A 23,312-nucleotide genomic window follows, 5' to 3' on the forward strand; every position below is an offset into this window, starting at 1 on the left:
TAGTTTTCACTTCCTCGGAGATTTTCAGGAAGAGCTTTATATCTAAGTTTCTAGAATTTACACAGAAGACTGAAACAGAGAAGCACTTCTGACATCTAGGAATGACTTTTCCTGCCAGGCGCAGTGGCTCACGCCTGTCATCCCAGCACTTTGGGAGGCTGAGGCGGGCGGATCACCTGAGGTCAGGAGTTCGAGGCTAGCCTGGCCAACACACCATTTCTACTAAAAATACAAAATTAGCTGGACGTGGTGGCGCTTGCCTGTAATCCCACCTACTAGGGAGGCTGAGGCGGGAGAATTGCTTAAACCTGGAAGCGGTGGTTGCAGTGAGCCGAGATTTTGCCATTGCACTCCAGCCTGGGTGATGAGAGCAAAACTCTGTCTCATTAAAAAGAAAAAAAAAAAAGAATGACATTTTCCTCTAAGGTAGTAAAGAAAATCACTTGAGTCATTAAAGCATTAAACCAAAGGCAAGCTGAAAATCAGAGCAAGTTTGATGGTGGTAGTTGTACAGATGAGTGATATCTCTTGATGCCAAGGTGACTGTTAGGTTTCTAGAATGAGAAAGTGTGGAAATAATGATCTCGTGTGCAAACCATGCATGCCTTTCATTTGGCAAAAATACTTACAACATTTTTACTGAGGTATAATTCACATACTGTAAAATCCTCCCTTTTAAAGCATGCAATCCGTTGGTTCCAACTGGAAAATATTCAAAGTCGTGCACCCACCACCACCCTCCAACCCAGAAGGTTTTCATCCCCCAGTCAGAGGCGGTCGGCAGCCACCACCGCCCTCCAACCCAGAAGGTTTTCACCCCCGGGCAGGGGCCATCAGCAGCCATTTGCCCAGCCCCCGGCAGCCCCCGTCTCTGCGTTCGCCTTTTCTGGGCATTTCCTCAGAATGGACTCACAACATGGTGTTGCTTCACACATGGGATGCTTTCTGTCCCCACGCGTGTTGCTGTGGGTGTCGGCGCTTCCTTCCTTTCCGTGTATCCCTTCATCAGTGGACGCGCGTTTGGAGGCTGCCACCTTTGTCTTCCATGAACAGCGCAGCCGTGAACCTTCTCGCCGAATTTTTTGTGCCCCTCCAGGAGTCGCTCGAGATGTTTCCTTTGGTCGGTTTGTGTCCTATGGTCAGTCACATCAGCACAGGGTAGATTTTTACTTCAGCTGGAACTTGATGCCAGCCCTCCAGGGGACTTGCCACGTGGCTTTCTCGATGCAGTTTGGACAATGGGTTGTTAATGAGTCATTAGGAAACCTGTTACTTGACATAGACAGTTTGGTGCCTGGTTTCAGCTTTGCTTTGCTGATGGAAGCCTCTGGCCGTGGGTGGGTTCTGCTGCGAGGAGTTGCACAGGGCTGGCTGAGCTGTGTGGCTGATCCTGTCTGGGAACGCGGAGAGAGAGAGGCTGGGGTCTCCATCCTCCTGCCCTGGAGAGCTTCCCGACTACCCGTGTCTTTGCTCTGAATCCTGAAAACAGCCCCGTGTGATGTGACCCCGTCTTTTGTTTGTTTGTTTGTTCGTTTGTTTGAGACGGAGCCTCGGTCTGTCATCCAGGCTGGAGAGCAGAGGCGCCATCTTGTCACTGCAACCTCCACCTCCGGGTTCAAGCGATTCTCCTGCCTCAGCCTCCCAAGTAGGTAGGACTACAGGCGCCCACATGCCCGGCTAATTTTTGTATTTTTTTTTTCAGTAGAGATGGAGTTTCACCTTGTTAGCCAGGCTGGTCTTGAACTCCTGGCCTCAAGCGCTCCGCCTGCCTTCGCCTCCCAAAGTGCTGGGATTACAGACATGAGCCACCATGCCCGGCAGGGACCCCGTTTTGTCTATGTCCCCGTTTATGCACAGTATGTCTGGCCCTGGATTCAAGACCGGTGAGGTTCAGAAGTTACACGATTGAGGCTCCTGAGTTTGTTTTCGTTGCTAACTGTACAGAGAACCAGAATCCTAGGGCTGGGAGGACCACGAAGGTTGGGCCTCCTAATCCCTTCATGTCGCTGCTGACAACATTTGACGGACGCGTGGTGTGAGGCAGCCGCAGCCACAGAGCCAGTGAGCAGCAGGGACCGGGCGCCCTGTCCCCAGGCTGCTGTTAGTGACGGTGTCTGCATCCTCTGGGGGTCCAGCGTGTTTTCGGCTCTGTTCCTTTTGGGCAGTTTAGTCTTCCTAGAATTTGACCATGTGTGGGCTGCTCTGTCTATGGAGTAGCTGTTCTTTTATTCATTTGCTTTCTTAATAAACTTGCTTTCACTTTGCAAAAAAAAAAAAAAAAAAAGAATTTGAACATTTGTGGAGAATACAACACAAAGAGCTCCCTTTGGTTTGAAGTGTGAACCTGAAGAGACATGTATGTTTCCGACCTTCCTGATGCCCTGGGTGAGGCCGTCTAAGTGACCTCATGGCTTCAGGTCCTTTCCTGTTCCAATCTGGTGTCTGTTATGCTGACGAGGCCATCAGGCAAGGCCGCGCACTTGCCAGGCAAGGCCCACTGCATGTTGGCAGGCAGCCTGTTTTCTGAAGCCATGGCACAGACAAGAATACTCATTCCTACTTGTGTCGGGTTAAACGCCGCTACACTGTTGGGCTGTATCTGAGTTGTTTTTGATGTAATTATTTAATGATAAACGTCTGCTCGCCGGTGTTGAGACTTTGGAGTGGGCTTCATCCATTCATCCTGATCGTTCCTCCATGAGACAGGGTCCCTTTGTTGCTGGCTGGAAGCGGCCGGGAAGCGTGGGCTCGCTGTGGCATGGGCAATGCCACACGGCTCCAGGGAAGCGTTCAGCTTTCCAAACCAGTGTCTGGGCTCGTGGCCACTCCTGAAATTCAGTTGCCGTCTTTGAAGCTTCGAAGAAAGTTTCTAGGATTTTCACTTTTGTATTAAAAGATATCTGTATGCTTTTCTCTCTTTTTCTGGTTCACTTATATTCTTATTCAGTGCAATTTCCTGATTTCACGAGAATGAGAAGCATCTATTTGGCTATGTTCTGTGAAAACAAAGGAGCCAGGGACTTTGCTTAGCCTTTATAGGCAGCAGTTTATTTATGAAGCTCTTAGGATGCTTTTAAAGTCCACATCCCTGTGGTTTGTTGGCTTCACCACAAAATAGAGACAGCAGGGAAGGCCCCCGTCAGGCAGGGAGACCCAGTCCCGGAGGAGGAGGGCCCGTCCTCGTGGGGAGGGGCAGCCAGGCTGTGGCATGGTCAGGGCAGTGGGGCTGTGCTGCCCACCTGGCTTTGAGTCCAGGATGACGGTTACTGCATGGCCAGCAGGCTCGCGGGGAGGCCACGACCCAAGGTCGCGCTGAGGAAAACTGCGTCTGGCTCATTTGAGGGTGGAGTGTTCCTCCCTGGCCTGGTGGCTGCCTTGTACGTCTGTCCCCAGGAGCATGGAAGCCTCGGCTCCCCGTGGAAACACTGGTTGATAGTCTCAGCCAAACATCTCTGAAAACACAGTTGGGGCACATGGAGACTGCTGTGGTCTCTTTCCGTTATTTTACTTAGACTTTTCTGCAAAGCTGAGTCCTAATAAAAGAAATTGCAGGTGAATTACCGATGGAATTTATTAAAGCAAATGTGCAGACATTCACACAGCTCCTGTCCGGGACGTTCTGGGTGGGACAGTGTGGAAAGACTTCCTCTGAGAGGTTGGTAGGGGAGCAGAGGAGCTGATGACATCAAGTCCAAAAACAGCCCCATGAGGTTTATAAACAAGAGCACCACGCAGACAGGGACTCCAGACTGTTCAGACCCTGCCTGCCTTTTTTGGCTTTAAAAAACGAGAGTTCCCTGAAGCACCGAGGGGCAGCCCACACAGAGAGGACTTGGCCCTGAGCATTTACAAGTGTCTGTGCTGGGCCGGGCCCCTGGCCTTGTTCTGTTCCCGTTGCCTCATTTCATGCTCCAGGACCCTGAGAAAGTGCTGGTGTCCCCCTCATGGGTGAGAAGCTCAGCGGGAAACTGTCCCCGTGCCTGCGGCGAGGAGTGGCCCAGCAGCCAAGGGTCAGCCCTTCGACGGCAGTGCCCGCTCGTCCTTCCCGTCCCACTGCACCAGCATTCCCCTCATGGAGGAGGCTTCCGTCTCCTCTTCAGCTGTGTTTCTCATGCCCCAGAAAGGCTGATGTCTTGCAGTTCCTACAGAGAACTGGGGCGTGGGACGAGAGCCACACGCTAAGGCCCCGTATTCCGAGGTGGGCTCAGGGCCATGGCCAGGGCTGCGTATTCAGATGTGGCGTTTGGATTTCCCGTTACGAGCTAAAGTATTTTTGTGGTTTTAGTGCTGACATCAAATGGCCCGCCTGAGTGTTGTTGAAATATTTCTTGTCAGAGCTGTTTCCTTAACTCCTCCAAATACAGTGTTCCGAGTAATACAGAGATGGTCAGGCCCAAGTCAGCTTTGCAGGAGAGCCTTCCTGTTCCTGAGCAGACACCTAGCAGGGTTGAGCGACTCTTACCCATCTGCAGATGCAGGGCCGGTGACCCCACAGTGGGGCAAGAGCCTGGAGAGCTCTTGGCTTTGCCCAGGAAGGAATTCAAGGGCAAGCAGGAGGCGGAAGAAACAGCTTCATTGAAGAGGCTACAGCTCCCTGACTGCCCCTGCAGAGCGGGGCTGCCCTGTTAGGCGGAGAGGAGTAGCTCAGGGCAGATTTAATTGCATGCAGATTAAGGGGTGGTTTATGCAGAAATTTCTAGGAGAAGGATGTAACTTGTAGGCGATCGGGTCATTGCCATGGAAAGGGGCCGCAGCTCCTGGCTGTTGCCATGGCAATGGTAAACTGATATTCACACCGCGGGCATGTCTTATGGAAAGCTGCCTCTGCCCCAGCCCTGTTTTCACCAGTCCTCAATCTGGTCCGGTGTCCAAGCCCCACCTCTGGAGTCAAGTCCCGCCTTCTACCCCAGTATCATAGTTTTTCTTTCCTCTTCCATTAAAGACCTTTCCCAACATCACTGTCTCTTCTGTTTTGGAAGCCTTACGATTTGGCCACACGTTCTGTTCTTTTTTTTTTTTTTTGAGACAGAGTCTCGCTCTGTCCCCCAGGCTGGAGTGCAGTGGTGCTATCTCGGTCACTGCAAGCTCCACCTCCCGGGTTCACGCCATTCTCCTGCCTCAGCCTCCTGAGTAGCTGGGACTACAGGCGCCCACCACCACACCCGGCTAATTTTTTGTATTTTTTAGTAGAGACGGGGTTTCACCGTGTTAGCCAGGATGGTCTCCATCTCCTGACCTCGTGATCCGCCCATCTCGGCCTCCCAAAGTGCTGGGATTACAGGCGTGAGCCGCCGCGCCCGGCCGCGTTCTGTTCTTATGTACACGCCCTGAGCTGTTTCCACTGGCAGTCAGCTTTGAAGTTCACTGTGTGGCTCTCACAGGAGCGCAGACCCTCCTGGTGCTCACCAGAAGACCTTGGCCCATGAGGGCTGCGTAAGACAGGGTGGCTCGGGCCTGGGGTGCTGGGCCCCAGGTCTCCCTGCAGCCCTGAACGATGCTCTCAGCAGCAGGTACAGGTCTCCGTTCCGACGAACGTGCCTCAAGGCAACACTCTGGGCAAGAGCTTTTGATGCAGGTTCTGAGGCAGCTGCCTAACACCGCTCTCCTTTCCGCAGTGTGCAGGAGAAGAGAATTGGGTGGACAGCAGGACCATCTACGTGGGACACAGGGAGCCACCTCCGGGCGCAGAGGCCTACATCCCACAGAGATACCCAGACAACAGGATCGTCTCGTCCAAGGTAACTTGGCTTGGGTCTGAGTGTCCATAATGTGTCTAAAAAGCAGCTGCCGGGGGGTGTTAGTGCTTCTCGGTTTCAAAGAGCGGCTCTGCTCCTGGCCCTGCTGTCACAGCCACCAGCCACCCCCAGCAAGGGCTTCGGATCAGGACCTCACCGAGGGCGCTACTCTCTCCCTCTCGGTGACTGCCCACAGGAGGCTTTCCACCTGCCCAGGGCTCACAGCGCAGTGTCTCCATTCTCGGGTGACCGTGCCACAGAGGCAGTGCAGGTCTGAAGTCCAGGATCCAAACCCTACCCAGGTCCCACTTCTGAGGCGCCTGGCCACGTGCTTGTCGTGGGCCACCCTGGCCAGAGTCTCAGTGCCAGTAAGGTAGAAACGATACCAGCCACCCCGGAGAAAGAGCCAACAAACGCAGGCTGGACAGCAAAACCTGGGGGGAAATCTTTGAGCTTGTTCACGAGGTGCAGCCCAGGTAAAGCGTAGGAAGCACAAGCAGAGTGCCGCGGTCTAAACGAAGCGTGTTTCTCTCCATGGACTAGAGCGTGGAAGTGCACACACATTTCCCACGTTCAGAGAGTGACCTGGAAACAGGTCTTAAGAACAAGGTGGAAATTTAGCTGCTGCCATTAAACATGGGGTAAACTGTGCTTTCCAGGTAATGCGGAACGCACGTGCCTGCGTTCAGACTCCATTTATCTTCACCGTCCTTCAAAATGGATGAGCTAAACCCACGCACACGCGTGGACGGGCTGCACATGGGGTAAACTGTGCTTTCCAGGTAATGCGGAACGCACGTGCCTGCGTTCAGACTCCATTTATCCTCACCGTCCTTCAAAATGGATGAGCTAAACCCACGCACACGCGTGGACGGGCTGCACATGGGGTAAACTGTGCTTTCCAGGTAATGCGGAACACACGTGCCTGCATTCATACTCCATTTATCTTCACCGTCCTTCAAAATGGATGAGCTAAACCCACGCACACGCGTGGACGGGCTGCACATGGGGTAAACTGTGCTTTCCAGGTAATGCGGAACGCACGTGCCTGCGTTCAGACTCCGTTTATCTTCACCGTCCTTCAAAATGGATGAGCTAAACCCACGCACACGCGTGGACGGGCTGCACATGGGGTAAACTGTGCTTTCCAGGTAATGCGGAACGCACGTGCCTGCGTTCAGACTCCGTTTATCTTCACCGTCCTTCAAAATGGATGAGCTAAACCCAGGCACACGCGTGGACGGGCTGCACATGGGGTAAACTGTGCTTTCCAGGTAATGCGGAACGCACGTGCCTGCATTCAGACTCCGTTTATCTTCACCGTCCTTCAAAATGGATGAGCTAAACCCAGGCACACGCGTGGACGGGCTGCACATGGGGTAAACTGTGCTTTCCAGGTAATGCGGAACGCACGTGCCTGCATTCAGACTCCATTTATCTTCACCGTCCTTCAAAATGGATGAGCTAAACCCACGCACACGCGTGGACGGGCTGCACATGGGGATGCCTGTGGCGGCCCACCATTCACACGTGTGCCCTCACCTGTAGACGCATTTAATTTACATTGGGTGTCCTGCCGTGTAAACTTCTGTGGAGACCTACTTAATTCACACCAAGTGTCCTGATGTGTAGACCCCTGCGATAGACCTACTTAATTCACACCGGTGTCCTGACGTGTAGACCCCTGTGGAGACCTACTTAATTCACACCGGGTGTCCTGATGCGTAGACCCCTGTGGAGACCTACTTAATCCACACCGGGTGTCCTGATGCGTAGACCCCTGTGGATACCTACTTAATTCACACCGGGTGTCCTGATGCGTAGACCCCTGTGGAGACCTACTTAATTCACACCGGTGTCCTGACGTGTAGACCCCTGTGGAGACCTACTTAATTCACACCGGGTGTCCTGATGCGTAGACCCCTGTGGAGACCTACTTAATTCACACCAAGTGTCCTGATGTGTAGACCCCTGTGGATACCTACTTAATTCACACCGGGTGTCCTGATGCGTAGACTCCTGTGGATACCTACTTAATTCACACCGGGTGTCCTGATGTGTAGACCCCTGTGGAGACCTACTTAATTGACACCGGGTGTCCTGATGCGTAGACTCCTGTGGAGACCTACTTAATCCACACCAGTGTCCTAATGTGTAGACCCCTGTGGAGACCTACTTAATTCACACCGGGTGTCCTGATGTGTAGACCCCTGTGGATACCTACTTAATTCACACCGGGTGTCCTGATGCGTAGACTCCTGTGGATACCTACTTAATTCACACCGGGTGTCCTGATGTGTAGACCCCTGTGGAGACCTACTTAATTGACACCGGGTGTCCTGATGCGTAGACCCCTGTGGAGACCTACTTAATTCACACCAAGTGTCCTGATGTGTAGACCCCTGTGGATACCTACTTAATTCACACCGGGTGTCCTGATGCGTAGACTCCTGTGGAGACCTACTTAATCCACACCGGGTGTCCTGATGTGTAGACCCCTGTGGAGACCTACTTAATTCACACCGGTGTCCTGACGTGTAAACCCCTGTGGAGACCTACTTAATTCACACCGGTGTCCTAATTCACACCGGTGTCCTGATGTATAGACCCTTGTGGAGACCTACTTAATTCACACCAGTGTCCTCATGTGTAGACCCTTGCGGAGACCTACTTAATTCACACTGGGTGTCCTGATGCGTAGACTCCTGTGGAGACCTACTTAATTCACACCGGATGTCCTGATGTGTAGACCCCTGTGGAGACCTACTTAATTCACACCAAGTGTCCTGATGTGTAGACCCCTGTGGATACCTACTTAATTCACACCGGGTGTCCTGATGTGTAGACCCCTGTGTAGACCTACTTAATCCACACCGGGTGTCCTGATGTGTAGACCCCTGTGGAGACCTACTTAATTCACACCAAGTGTCCTGATGTGTAGACTCCTGTGGAGACCTACTTAATTCACACTGGGTGTCCTGACGTGTAGACTCCTGTGGAGACCTACTTAATTCACACCGGGTATTCTGACATGTAGACCCCTGTGGAGACCTACTTAATTCACACTGGTGTCCTGACGTGTAGACCCCTGTGGAGACCTACTTAATTCACACCGGTGTCCTAATTCACACCGGTGTCCTGATGTATAGACCCTTGCGGAGACCTACTTAATTCACACCGGTGTCCTCATGTGTAGACCCTTGCGGAGACCTACTTAATTCACACCGGGTGTCCTGATGCGTAGACTCCTGTGGATACCTACTTAATTCACACCGGTGTCCTGATGCGTAGACTCCTGTGGAGACCTACTTAATTCACACCTGTGTCCTGATGTGTAGACCCCTGCGGAGACCTACTTAATTCACACCGGGTATTCTGACATGTAGACTCCTGTGGAGACCTATTTAATTCACACCGGGTGTCCTGATGTGTAGACCCCTGTGGAGACCTACTTAATTCGCACCTGGCATCCTGACGTGTAGACTCCTATGTAGACCTATTTAATTCACACCGGGTGTCCTGGCGTGTAAACCCCTGTGTAGATCTACTTAATTCACACCCAGCATCCTGACCTGTAGACCCCTGTGGCGACCTACTTAATTCACACCCGGCATCCTGACGTGTAGACTCCTATGTAGACCTATTTAATTCACACCAGGAGTCCTGATATGTAGATCCCTGTGGAGACCTACTTAATTCACACCTGGCATCTTGACGTGTAGACTCCTATGTAGACATACTTAATTCACATTGAGCATCCTGACATGTAGACCCCTGTGTAGACCTACTTCATTTACACCAGGTGTCCTGATGTGTAGACCCCTGTGTAGACCTACTTAATTCACACCGGGTGTCCTGATGTATAGACCCTTGTGGTAGACCTACTTAATTCACACCGAGTGTCCTGATGTGTAGACTCCTGTGGAGACCTACTTAATTCACACCAGGTGTCCTGATGTGTAGACCCCTGTGGATACCTACTTAATCCACACCGGGTGTCCTGATGCGTAGACTCCTGTGGAGACCTCCTTAATCCACACCAGGTGTCCTGATGTGTAGACCTCTGTGGAGACCTACTTAATTCACACCGAGTGTCCTGACGTGTAGACCCCTGTGGAGACCTACTTAATTCACACCGGTGTTCTGACATGTAGACCCCTGTGGAGACCTACTTAATTCACACCGGTATCCTGACATATAGACCCTTGCGGAGACCTACTTAATTCACACCAGTGTCCTGATGTGTAGACCCTTGCGGAGACCTACTTAATTCACACCGGGTGTCCTGATGCGTAGACTCCTGTGGATACCTACTTAATTCACACCGGTGTCCTGACGCGTAGACCCCTGTGGAGACCTACTTAATTCACACCGGGTATTCTGACATGTAGACCCCTGTGGAGACCTACTTAATTCACACCGGGTATTCTGACGTGTAGACCCCTGTGGAGACCTACTTAATTCACACCGGGTGTCCTGATGTGTAGACCCCTGTGGAGACCTACTTAATTCACACCGGGTGTCCTGATGTGTAGACTCCTGTGGAGACCTACTTAATTCACACCGAGTGTCCTGACGTGTAGTAGACCCCTGTGGAGACCTACTTAATTCACACCGGTGTCCTGATGTGTAGACCCCTGTGGAGACCTACTTAATTCACACCTGGCATCCTGACGTGTGGACTCCTATGTATACCTATTTAATTCACACCGGGTGTCCTGGCGTGTAAACCCCTGTGTAGATCTACTTAATTCACACCCAGCATCCTGACCTGTAGACCCCTGTGGCGACCTACTTAATTCACACCCGGCATCCTGACGTGTAGACTCCTATGTAGACCTATTTAATTCACACCAGGAGTCCTGATATGTAGATCCCTGTGGAGACCTACTTAATTCACACCCGGCATCCTGATGTGTAGACTCCTATGTAGACCTATTTAATTCACACCAGGAGTCCTGATATGTAGATCCCTGTGGAGACCTACTTAATTCACACCCGGCATCTTGACATGTAGACTCCTATGTAGACATACTTAATTCACATTGAGCATCCTGACGTGTAGACCCCTGTGTAGACCTACTTAATTCACACCGGGTGTCCTGCCATGTAGACTTCTGTGTAGACCTACTTAATTCACACCGGGTGTCCTGATGTGTAGACCCCTGTGGAGACCTGCTTAATTCACACCGGGTATTCTGACATGTAGACTCCTGTGGAGACCTACTTAATTCACACCGGGTGTCCTGATGTGTAGACCCCTGTGGAGACCTGCTTAATTCACACCGGGTATTCTGACATGTAGACTCCTGTGGAGACCTACTTAATTCACACCGGGTGTCCTGATGTGTAGACCCCTGCGATAGACCTCCTTAATCCACACCGGGTGTCCTGATGTGTAGACCCCTGCGATAGACCTCCTTAATCCACACCGGGTGTCCTGATGTGTAGACTCCTGTGGAGACTTACTTAATTCACACTCAAGCATCCTGGCATGTAGACCCCTGTGGTTCTTAATTATTTATGTGCTCTTGAAGAGTTGCACATTTTTAAAGAATATTTTACAACAGAAAAGGTCACCTTTTCAAAGCCTTTTTTATGGGATTAATTTGTAACTACAGGATTGCAAAAAATTTTAATAGCTTTAACCTCTAGAAACAGGATATGTAAATGCTGAAAAACAAAGTCCCAACCAGATAAGTCCTGTGGGTGGTTTCCCAGTCATGATTCATGGAAGGAGAAATGTACTGATGAGAAATCACATCCAAAATATTGTCTCTGCAGTGGTAATACTTACAAAGTCGACGCAGTCTCAGGCGGAGCTCACTGAAGATGGTTTCCAAGCTTATATGTACTTCACCCATCCCCCACCCTCCAGCCCAAAACAAATCCCAAACATACTGCTTAGAACTCAGCCTGCGCAGCCCAGAGGTACAGAGAGGCAGGAAGCACCCAGGTGTCCACATACGGTGCCATTGTGGACTTGTAGGGCAGGATTCCAGGATATGGGTGATGGGCGTGTGGAACCGCGGCGCCCCCTGCACAGTGTGGCTCATTTGAGCCGGATGGGGGCCGTGAAGGCATCACCCAGCCTGCCCCCTGGGAGCTGGCTTCTCCCTTCCTGGGGCGGAGCTCGCCCGACAGCCCCACATGCCTGGTTCTCCCTGCAGATGAGGGTGCTGTGTGGGGTCACAGGGAAGAAACCAGCAGCAGCGGCAGAGCTTGATCCAGGCATTGGAGGAGGGTCCTGGTACCCCTGGCAGGGGCTGGCGGGAAGCTGCACTTCTGTCATTGCCCATGGCGGCTTTGGAGGAGATGACAGAGCATGGCGAATTCTGCCTCCCACTCCTGACCCCTCTGCTGTGTCATTCAAGTTTTGTCCTTTTCCTACTGTCCGTTTCGAACGTCACTGCAGGCAGTGGCCTCGGTGGCTTCGCTCCGCCTGGCCCTGCTCCCTGGCTCTGTGCTACCCTCTCTCCCCCTCGGCTGGGCCCTTCCTCTCCGCTGCTCCCTGTGGAACTGGAGCCCCTCAAGGTCTCTTCAGTTTCTGATCCGGGGAGCCCTGCAGGTTGTCAGGATGGGTTTTGTGGGCTTATTGCTGCTTTCCAGGACCTTTGAGAAGCCGTAAGTCTCCTTCCTACCAGGAAGCCCTCACTCAGGAACGCACAGACCGGGGTCAACAGGCTCTCAGGAGCGCCGTCTGCGTGCAGGTGGAGGGTGTGGCGGGGCCAGGAGAGCACTTGGCCGCCTTTCATCTCAACCTCTGAGGACAGAAGGGGGCTCTCAAATCCGCCCATGCATTGAGATCTTCGCTCTTCACAGAGGTGGGATTAGTAGCTTAGTCTCAGTTTCAAGTGGATGAGGTTGTGTAATTTCAAGGGAAAATTACATCCGGCAATACCTCTTTTGCTAATGGAACTCAGGAAGGAAAGGCCCTCAGAAAGGCTGGAGTCTGGAATCTAGGCAGGTAGCTGGCCTGACAGTAACCTTGATCCAGGTAAACCAAAGTGGAATTCTCGAGCCTGGAATTGATGACTCATAATTGTTTTCATTTAACAGCTCAGGATGTGTGAAAAAAAAATGCTGTTTAATTTGTAAGACCTAAGTTTACGACTGATTTTGGAGAATACATTTGTGATAATGTATCTATGTTTTCCTGGGGTGGCGGAGGAAATGATTTCTACCTAAAAAAAAGAAATGCTAGTAGTTAAGACTTTTTAAGTGCCACAGAAGCTTGTTCTCAGCAAGTTTGCTTTTATGAAATCAAAGGATGAAAGCCTTTGTCATGGAAGAAGTCGTAATAGAGGATGAAAATGCTGTCGGGTTATTTTTAACTTCTCATCTGTTTGACGGAAGTGCAGTTACTGGTGATAGGTGATGATAGAGTTTGTTTCCTTCTTGGGGGAGAGACTTTGGGCAGTGTCAAAACCTGAAATGACAGCCCAGCACGCCCCGTTCCCTGCTTCCTGTGCTGTGCAGAGCTCCCCCAGGCCTGCTTGCACCCCCCACGTGGGGAATCCTGAACTCCACAAAGGGATGGATCACTGCATGCCTCCTTTTCCAGATTTGTACTTTGGGGCACAGAATTCACATGGTTCCCAGCTTTGCCCACAGGAGGCTACAGAATTAAATGTTGGCTTAGACTATACTGTCCCTCCATGCCTTCAAGAAAGTTGAATCCTTCTGGTAATTGGGGAGAAAAAATTCCCTCTGCAATTCGTAGGTATAGCCAGTGTTTTCATGACTTCTATTTGTATAAATGATTTCCATGTTTATTATATCATGTAATCTCTAAAACAACCCTGTGAGCCCACCAATACTGATTATTACCAATGTATCCATGAGGAAGCTGAGGCTTAGAGCTCAGTCATGTGCCTGAGGCCACAGAAGAGGATAGAGCCCCTGTAGTCTGGCACTGGGCTTGGACTTCCTTCCGCAGAGCCAGGGGCCCTTTCTTTTCATTTTTGAGACAGAGTCTCTCTCTGTGCCCAGGCTGGAGTGCAATGGTGCGATCCTGGCTCACTGCAACCTCCACCGCCCGGGTTTAAGTGATTCTCCTGCCTCAGCCTCCCAAGTAGCTGGAACTACAGGTGCCCACCACCACACCTAGTTAATTTTTATGTTTTTAGCAAAGATGGGGTTTTGCCATTGTTGGCCAGGCTGGTCTTGTACTCCTGACCTCAGGTGATTCACCCGCCTCGGCCTCCCAAAGTGCTGGGTTTACAGACGTGAGTCGCCGCGCCCATCCAGGGGCACGTTTCTTAACAGCCCCTCTGGGTGCTCACGAATTTCCGGCATCAGCAATCCACCATCCTGGCATAATTTTCTGTGTTTTGCATCCCTGCCTCCCGGTCATAAACAAAAGAGTGACCTCAGTTCCATGCGAGTGGCTGCTTGTCCCAAGCAGATGGGTGTCCGGCGTCCCCGCCTTTTTCAGGACTGTCAGGTGGGCCCTGTGGTGCTGGAGCTGTGTTCAGGTGAACACTAGTTGAGGCTTCAGACAGCTTGTAGGTGCTCCTGCGGGCGCCTGGGCTGCTGGCAGGGGACAGTGCCCGGGTTCGTCTCGCAGCCAGAGGCCAGAGGCAGGCCAGGTGAGGCCATGCTCTTCCCTGTCTGCACACCACACTGCTGGCAAGTAACACAAAACAGAGACTGGCTACCCCAAGGGGCAGGAGGCAGCGGAAACCTGAGGCTCAGACACTAGTGAGGCGTTCCAGCTCAGGGCCAAAATCAGAGCCAGGGCAGCTGTGGACTCTGGCTATGGCGTCTGTCGTACAAGTGAGAAACGAAAAGAATGACTGTCCCGTGTCATTCAGCAAAACACATGGTGTCTTTGGAGGTGAAGAGAGGTGCCAAGCACCACTCGGTTTTCCCAGATTTCCTGTAGGAGGAAAACCACTTGGTTCTATGCTGTGGCTTTCACGCCAGGAGCTCCTAGGATTGAGGACGTCTACTGATTGTATCACAGTCGAAGGGCCCAGTGTTACATTACATTGTGTCCCCAGGCAAATACTTACATTTTTACAATTCAACAACGATGAGCGAAGGATAACTGTCCACCATTGTCAGCCTTCCCACTCTAACGTGTGGAATAAAATGCTCATTTCAGTTGATTGTATCCCGATGGTACTGCTGTGTCAGTGCAGTCACGACCCTTTAAATGAGTTCCCTGGGATTTCACTTTTCTTGTTAGACATCACCAGGAATTAATAACCCTCCTTTTGACAATAGTAGTGGTCAGCAGTAATAACTTACTCTGTGAAACATAGAGATTACACAGCATCATGGGGCTTGGCTGCAGCCCTCAGTGCCTGATTAGAATAAAGCAATTGAGGCCAGGCGCAGTGGCTCACACCTGTAATCCCAGAACTTTGGGAGGCCGAAGCGGGCGGATCACGAGGTCAGGAGTTCTAGACAAGCCTGGCCAACATGGTGAAATCCTGTCTCTACCAAAAAATAAAAAATTAACTGCGTGTGGTGGCGGGCGCCTGTATTTCTAGCTACTCGGGAGGTTGAGGCAGGAAAATCGCTTGAACCCGGGAGGCAGAGGTTGCAGTGAGCCGAGATTGTGCCAACGCACTCCAGCCTGGGTGACAGACAGAGTAAGACCCTGTCTCAAGAAAAGAAAAGAAAAAAAGAATAAAGCAATCATGCAGGTGGTTTCAAATTCCAAAGCTGTACAGTAACATTCAAATATGGCAAGGCCCTGCCAGGTGCGGTGGCTCACGCCTGTAATTCCAGCACTTTGGGAGGCTGAGGCAGGTGGATCACCTGAAGTCAGGAGTTCAAGATCAGCCTGGGCAACATGGTGAAATCCCGTCTCTATTAAAAATACAAAAATTAGCCGGGCATCTTGGGGGGTTGCCTGTAATCCCAGCTACTCGGGAGGCTGAGGCACGAGAATCGCTTGAACCTGGGAGGCAGAGGTTGCAGTGAGCCGAGATGGCGCCACTGCACTCCAGCCTGGGCGACAGAGTGAGACTTCATCTCAAAATAAATAAATAAATAAGTTATGGCAAGTCCATGAGTTTGCACAGCCTTCCAGGCCTGATGGAAGTAGATCTGCATGTTTGGAAGGATTGCAGATCATATTTTATCTCATAAATATTACCAGAACTTCCTCGTGTAACATGGGAACTTTCAAAACCATAGAGAGGAGCATTGTAAATCTCTGTGGCTCGTCTCCACTGTCACAGTTCCCAGCTTGTGGCCAGCCTGTTGCATCTGCACCTTCACTGTAGTTCCAAGGGTCCTTTGGAAGGAATCCTGGACAGCGTGTACTTTTCATCTGAAAGTACTTCAGTAAATGAAAGGTGGAATTTTAAGTAGACTCTTTTTTCATTAATGTGACTTTGTTACTGAGTGATGTATTATAGAAATTTGTGGAAACGTATAATTGTAATAAATTTGTTGGCTTGGATGCTGGAAAGTAAGACTGGCCTCACATGGGTGAGCTAAGGTATTTCTTTAATGTATCCTTTTAAAAGCTAATGGAGAGTAACTGACTTTTTCATTGTGGCCCATTTGAGAGAAAATATATCTTTCTCAAATATTTAAAAAGGTCGATCACATGTGTAATGTTTGCCAAGTTGTATACACAAGAAAACTAGAACTCAGAATCATTAAATAATTTGCTGAAGTTTACATGGTTTTTAAATGGCAGGGTCAGGATCGAATATGGGGACTGACTCTGAAGTCTATGTGTTTCATAGTATGCTAAAGAGTAAATATTTCCAGAATTTCGATAGAGTACCTAAATTATCTTGAGGTGGGGTTAGCAAATTGTGAATTAAGATTGTGGTTTTTGTAAAGGAAGAAAGTGCCTATACTTTTATTGGCAATCTGGTGTTTTTGTTTGCTTTTTTTCTGAATGAGAAACAAAAGAAATGAAGAGCTAGCCATGTGTTCTCTACTCTGTCTCAGTTTGTATGGCTACTTTTCCATCCAGAGCTCTTGCCTTTTGGTTCTCAATTTGGTTGCATTCCCATGAAGAAAACCTAGTGTGGCAGGCAGAAGGATGGCCTCCCACAGATGTCCACATCCTGATCCCCAGAACCTCTGACTATGACACTGTCTGTGGCCAGGGAATCAAGATTGCCAAACAGCTGACATTAAAATAGGGAGGTGATTATAGAACTATTCATGTGGCCAAAAGTAACCACAGAGGCACTTGTAAGTGGAAGAGGGAGGCAGAACAGACTGTCCGAGCTACGACTGGCTTCAGAGGTTGAAGGGGACCAAAGGATGTAGGCAGCCTCTGCAGGAAGCAAGAAAAGGCAAGAAAAGTTTCTCCCTGGAGCCTCCAGGAAGGAACCAGCCCTGCTGATACTTTAATTTTAACCCAGTGAATCCCATTGCAAACTTCTGACCTCCAGAACAGTAAGGTAATAAATTTGCATTGTTTTAAGTCACAAAGTGGAATTTGTTATAGCAGCATAAGAAACTCATACACCTGTCCTAACTACTTTGGGGATTTATAATACAGACTGTACGGAGATTGACGCGGTGTCAAAGGACCCGTGACCTTGAGACATGCCCATAGAATCATACACCTGCCCTAGCCACATCGGGGATTTGTAATACAGGCTGCTCAGAGACTGACGTGGTGTGCAAAGGACCCGTGACCTTGAGACATGTCCATAGAAACTTTCCAAACTGAAGAGCAAAGAGGAAAAAAGAGTGAAGAAACAGAACAGAACTGTGGACAACTACAATAGGTGAAGCAGGCCAGGCACGGTGGTCACGCCTGTAATCCTGGCGCTTTGGGAGGCTAAGGTGGGCAGATCACCTGAGGTCAGGAGTTTGAGACAAGACTGGCCAACATGGTGAAACCCCGTCTGTACTGAAAATACAAAAAATAAAAATTTTTTTTAAAAAAATTAGCCAGGTGTGGTGGCAGGTGCCTGTAATCCCAGCTACTTGGGAGGCTGAGGCACAAGAATCCCTTGAAGCTGGGAGGCAGAGGTTGCAGTGAGCCAAGATAGCACCACTGCACTCCACCCTGGGCAGCCAGAGTGAAAACTCCATCTCAAAAAAAAAAAAAAAAAAAAAGGTAAACCATATATGCATAATGAAAAAAACAAAAGAAGAGAGAAGAAATATCTCCAGTAAAAGTGGCTATTTCCAAAATTAATGGCAGATGCCAAACTACCGATCCAGGAAGCTCAGAGATAAATACAAAAGCAGAATAAATTTTTTAAAAAGGGTACACCTAGACATATCACATTTAAATTGCAGAAAATTAGACTCAGAAAAAATCTTGAAAGAAGCCACAGGAAAAGAACATTTTACCTGCTGAGAAACAAGGGTAAGAATTATATCAAACTTTCTTCCAGAAACCATCTAAGGAAGAAAAGAATAATGTAAAATATTTAAAGTGTTGAAAGAAAAAGCCAGCAACCCAGAATTCTGTATCTCATAAAATTATCCTTCATTCGTGAAGGAGAAATAAAGACTTTTTCAGGCAAACAAAAATTGAGCGAATTCATTGCCAGTAGACCTCCCTTGCAAGAAATGTTAAAAGTTCTTCAGAAAGAAGGAAAATTATATAGGTCAGAAATTCAGGTCTACTTAGGAAAGAAGAACACAGCACTAAAGTGTGAGTTTTTGTGCTGTTACAACAGAATACCACAGACTGGGTAATTTATAGAGAAGAGACATTGATTTCCCCACAGTTCTAGAGTCTGGGAAGTCCAAGATCAAGACACTGGCAGGTTTGGTGTCTGGTGAGGGCCCCATCTCTGCTTCCAAGATGGCTCCTTGAGCACTGCATCCTCTGGAGTGGGGGAAGGCTGTGTCCTTATGTGGCAGAAGGCAAAAGGGCAAAGGGGCAAACTCCCTCTGCCGAGCCCTTTTATACAGGCACCTAATCCCATTCATGAGGGAGGAGCCCGCATGGCGGAATCAGAACTCTTGAAGGCCCCGCCTCCTGGGACCGTGACTAGTTGTCACATTGGCAACACCTGAATTTTGGAGGGGACACATTCAAACCATAGCAAGAAGGAATAAGTGAAGGTAGTAAAATTAAATATTTTGCTTTTTTGTTGTTTTTTATTTCTTTTAGAGACGTGATCTCACCATGTTGCCCAGACGGGTTTAGAACTTCTGGGCTCAAGGGATCCACTGCCTCAGCCTCCTGAAGTGCTAGGATTACAGGGCACAGCACCCAGCTTGCTTTTCGTGTTCTTAATTGGTCTAACAGAGAGTACTTTATTCAGAATGATAATAGCATTTACTCAGTGGTGATTGCTCAGGGGTGAATGAAATGTATGACAGCAGTGCCCTGGGGGGCAAGAAGGAACTGGGCATGCTGTTGCGAGGAATCTGCGCCACACACACAGTGCGGGTTATGTGAGAGTGGGCGTATATTGTGGCCTCTAGTGCAACCACTAAGTAATTTTTTTAAAAAATAAGTATAGTTGATATTCTAAGACAGGAGAGAAAATAGTCACATCAAATGCTTAATTAAAACCCAAGATGGCAGGAAAAGAGTATAAGTCACAAAAGAAACAAAGACTATGAAGAAAGGAATAAAAGTCAGTTACAAATATGGTAAATATTAATCCAGCTATATTAATAATCACTTTAAGTGTGAATTGTCTAAATAAACCAAATACAGAAACTGTCAGAATAGAAAAAACAAGACCTAACCATATGTTGTGTGCAGGAAAGGCACTTTAAATATAAAAACACGGGTTTAAGAGATAGAGGAAGATGTACCATGCTGCTACTACTCAAAGGGACACAAGATTAGCTATATTAATTTCAGACAAAGCAGACTTCAGAACAAGAGAAGTTACCAGGGATAAAGAGGGGCATTGCCAAACAACAAAGAGGTCAGTTCTCCAAGACAACATAACAATTCTCAAAGTCTCTGTAACAACAGAGGGTCAAAATATGTGAGGCAAAAACGGATAGAACTGGAAAGAGAAAGAAAATCCACTGTTATATTTGGACACTTCATGACCTCTGTCCACAGGCAGAAAATCAGTAAGGACACGGTTGAACTGAACAGCACCATCAGTCCCTTGGATCTAATGGACCTTTATGTCTCACGCGTCCATGTGAAGAGAGTCCACCAATAGGCTTTGTGTGAGCAACAAGGCTGTTTATTCACTTGGATGCAAGTGGGCTGAGTCCGAGAAAGGAGTCAGCAAAGGGAGATGGAGGTGGGGCAGTTCTATAGGATTTGGGTATGTAGTGGAAAATTACAGTTAAAGGTGGTTATCCCTTGTGGGCAGGGGCGGGGGTCACAAGGTGCAGGGTGGGGAGGTCATGAGACTCATTGTCCAGGGGGGAATGTCACAAGGTTGATTGATTAGTTGGGGTGAGGCAGGAACAAATCACAAAGGTGGAATGTCATCTTTTGTGGTTCTTCAGTTGCTCCAGGCCATCTGGGTGTATATGTGCAGGTCACAGGCTTAGCTTGGGCTCAGAGGCCTCACAATTTATAAAATACTTCATTCAACAATAGCAGACCACACATTCTTCTCAAGTTCACATGGAACATTTGCCATGACAGATCACATTCTGGGCCATAAAATACACCTTAGCACCTTTTCAAAGAATAGAAATCATACCAAGTACTCTTTCAGACCACAGTAGAATTAAACTAGAAATAAATAAATAACAAAGTTAACTGGAAAATCCCAAAATATTTGGAGATTAAACAAAACACTACTAAATAACACATGAACCAAAGAAGTCTCAAGAGGCATAAAAATATTTTAAGCTAAACAAAAAATATAACTTATCAAATCTTGTGGGATGCAGGAAAAGCAGTGCTTAGAGGGAAATTTATAGTATTGACTACATAGATTAGAAAAGAAGAAAGATCCAAAATCTACAAGCTTCAACATTAGGAAACTTAACAAAAAATTAATAATCAACATTAGAACAGAAATTAATGAAATTGAAAACAGGAAATCAGAGAAAATTTTAAACATCAAAAGCTGGTTCTTTGAAAAAAAAAAATCAATAAAATCAATAAAACTTTAGCCAGGCTAAACAAGAGGAAAAGAAAAGAGACACAAATTCCAAACATCAGAAATAAAGGAGGGGCATCACTACTGGTAACATGGCTAATAAAAAGATTAAAAGGAATATCATGAACAGCCCTACACCCATAAACTTGGTAACTTAGATAACATTGGCCAGTTTCTTGAAAAACGCTATCTACCAAAACTCAAACAAGGAGAAATATAATCTGGGTGGGCCTACATCAATTAAAAGAAATGGAATCCGTAATTAATACTCTTCCAAAACGGAAAGCACAAGACTCAGATGTTTTCACTGGTGAATTCTACCAAACATTTAAGGAAAAAAAAAAAAATCAATTCTCTACAATCTCTTCCAGGTAATAGAAGCGGAAGGAACATTTTCTAATTCGTTCTATGAGGCCAGCATTACCCTAAAACCAAAACCAGAAAAAGATATTACCAGAAAGACGATATCACACACCAGTATTTCTCATGAACATAGAAGCAACGATTCTCAATAAAATATTAGCAAGTCCAATTCAACAATGTATAAAAAGAATTATACACCATGACCAAGTGGGTTTATCCTAGGTATGCAAGGCTGATCCAACATTTGAAAATCGACTAATATAACCCATATTTACAGGCTAAAAAAGAAAACTTACATGATTATATCAATAGGTGCAGAAAAAGAATTTGACAAAATTCACTACCCACTCATGTACTGCAGCAAACTAAAAACAGAGGGGAATTTCCTGAGCTTCATAAAGAGCATCTCCGAAAAGCCCTACAGCTGACGTCATACTTAATGGTGAAAAACGAGATGGTTTCACCCTAAGATTGGAAAAAAGGCAAGAAATCCCTTATCACTGTTCTTATTCAGCATTGTACTGGAAATCCTAGCTAATACAGTAAGAGTAGAAATGGGAATAAAAGGCCTACAGCTGACGTCATACTTAATGGTGAAAAACGAGATGATTTCACCCTAAGATTGGAAAAAAGGCAAGAAATCCCTTATCACTGTTCTTATTCAGCATTGTACTGGAAATCCTAGCTAATACAGTAAGAGTAGAAATGGGAATAAAAGGCCTACAGCTGACGTCATACTTAATGGTGAAAAACGAGATGATTTCACCCTAAGATTGGAAAAAAGGCAAGAAATCCCTTATCACTGTTCTTATGCAGCATTGTACTGGAAATCCTAGCTAATACAGTAAGAGTAGAAATGGGAATAAAAGTCCTACAGATTGGGAAGGAAGGAATAAGACTATCTTTGTTCACAAGTGATATGATTGTCCATGCAGAAAATCCCAAAGAACCAACAATAACAAAAAAACTTCTGGATGTTAGAGGCGATTATAGCATGGTTGCAGGATGCAAAAATTAATCGCTATCCTATATGCCAGCAATGAACAGTTGGAATTTGAAATTGAAAACAACACTATTTACATTTAACCCCCCCACCCACCAAATTACACAGGTATAAATCTAACAAGATATGTACAAGGTCTAGGTAAGGAAAACGACAAAACTGTAACGAAATCAAAGACTTAAATTAATGGAGAGATGTTCCATGTTCATGGATGGGAAAACTCCATGTTTTTAAGATGTCAGTTCTTCCCACTTTGACCTGTCCTAATCAAATTCCCAGCAAGTTAATTTCTAGATATCACCAAACTGATTCTGCATTTATATGGAAAGGCAAAAGACCCAGAATAGCCTCGCAGTATTGAACCAAGTTGGAGAACTGACACTAGCCCACTTTAGGACTTACTGTAAAACTACGGTAATCAAGACAGTGTGGTGTTGCTGAAAGAATAGAGAAATAGCGGCTGGGCGTGGCGGCTCACACCTGTCATCCCAGCACTTTGGGAGGCCGAGGCGGGCGGATCACGAGGTCAGGAGATTGAGACCAACCTGGCCAACACGATGAAACCCCATCTCTACTAAAAATACAAAAAAAATTAGCCGGGCGTGGTGGTGGGCGCCTGTAGTCCCAATTACTCAGGAGGCTGAGGCAGGAGAATGGCGCGAACCCAGGAGGCAGAGCTTGCGGTGAGCCGAGATCGCGCCACTGCACTCCAGCCTGGGCAACAGAGCGAGACTCCGTCTCACAAAAAAAAAAGAAAAGAATAGACAAATAGATCAATGAAACATCATAGAGAGCCTGGGAGTAGATCCACCCAGTAAATCCACCCAGATAGTCAACCCATTCACCCAGATAGTCAACCCATCTTTGACAAAGGAGCAAAGGCAATTCAGGGCAGACAGAAAAGCACTATTTCTTTTCAACAAATAGTGCTAGAAAAACTGGACATGCAAAAAAAAAAAAAAAAAAAAACCCAGCAACAGTGACTCTAGACAGTGATCACACACCGTTCAAGAAAATTAGCTCAAAGTGAGTCATAGACCTAAATGTAAAATGTATAATAATGAAACTTGTAGAAATGTAGGAGAAAGTCTAGGTGACCTTGGGTTTGGCAACAAGTTTTTGGATAACACCAAAAACACTGTTCATGAAAGGAAAATTGATAAGTTGGACTTCGTGAAGATTAAAAACTTGAGCTTTGCAAAATACAGTTAAGAGAATTAAAATATG

The 23,312-nt window shown here is 47.7% G+C and overlaps 1 protein-coding gene and 1 long non-coding RNA gene across 14 annotated transcripts in view, besides 3 other annotated features; both read left to right on the forward strand.

Annotated features, from left to right (window-relative positions):
* The window catches only part of ATP11A (ATPase phospholipid transporting 11A), a 197,131-nt gene that overhangs the window by 89,482 nt on the left and 84,337 nt on the right, over window positions 1-23,312 (forward strand). For all 13 annotated transcript variants that reach the window (NM_015205.3, XM_011537480.3, NM_001405663.1 and 10 more), the window contains exon 2: window positions 5,616-5,738. In NM_015205.3, the coding sequence (NP_056020.2) occupies window positions 5,616-5,738 (123 nt within the window). The remainder of the gene's footprint in view (window positions 1-5,615; window positions 5,739-23,312) is intronic.
* Window positions 311-1,176: an enhancer, noted in NCBI's record as "NANOG-H3K27ac-H3K4me1 hESC enhancer chr13:113434144-113435009 (GRCh37/hg19 assembly coordinates)". NCBI's record gives its function as "activates a minimal SCP1, AML or CMV promoter by ChIP-STARR-seq in naive H9 embryonic stem cells {active_cell/tissue: H9 hESC(naive)}" and the evidence as "EXISTENCE:reporter gene assay evidence [ECO:0000049][PMID:30033119]".
* LOC124903252 (uncharacterized) lies at window positions 5,745-16,168 on the forward strand. The gene is made up of 2 exons (XR_007063947.1): window positions 5,745-6,394; window positions 6,764-16,168. It is a non-coding gene; the product is annotated as an uncharacterized LOC124903252 (long non-coding RNA).
* Window positions 10,563-11,282: an enhancer, noted in NCBI's record as "NANOG hESC enhancer chr13:113444396-113445115 (GRCh37/hg19 assembly coordinates)". NCBI's record gives its function as "activates a minimal SCP1, AML or CMV promoter by ChIP-STARR-seq in primed H9 embryonic stem cells {active_cell/tissue: H9 hESC(primed)}" and the evidence as "EXISTENCE:reporter gene assay evidence [ECO:0000049][PMID:30033119]".
* Window positions 22,810-23,059: an enhancer, noted in NCBI's record as "active region_8034". NCBI's record gives its function as "activates an Ori minimal core promoter by ATAC-STARR-seq in GM12878 lymphoblastoid cells {active_cell/tissue: GM12878}" and the evidence as "EXISTENCE:reporter gene assay evidence [ECO:0000049][PMID:35858748]".

This window comes from Homo sapiens, chromosome 13 (genome assembly GCF_000001405.40).
Source record: "Homo sapiens chromosome 13, GRCh38.p14 Primary Assembly".
Taxonomy (NCBI): Eukaryota; Metazoa; Chordata; class Mammalia; order Primates; family Hominidae; genus Homo; species Homo sapiens.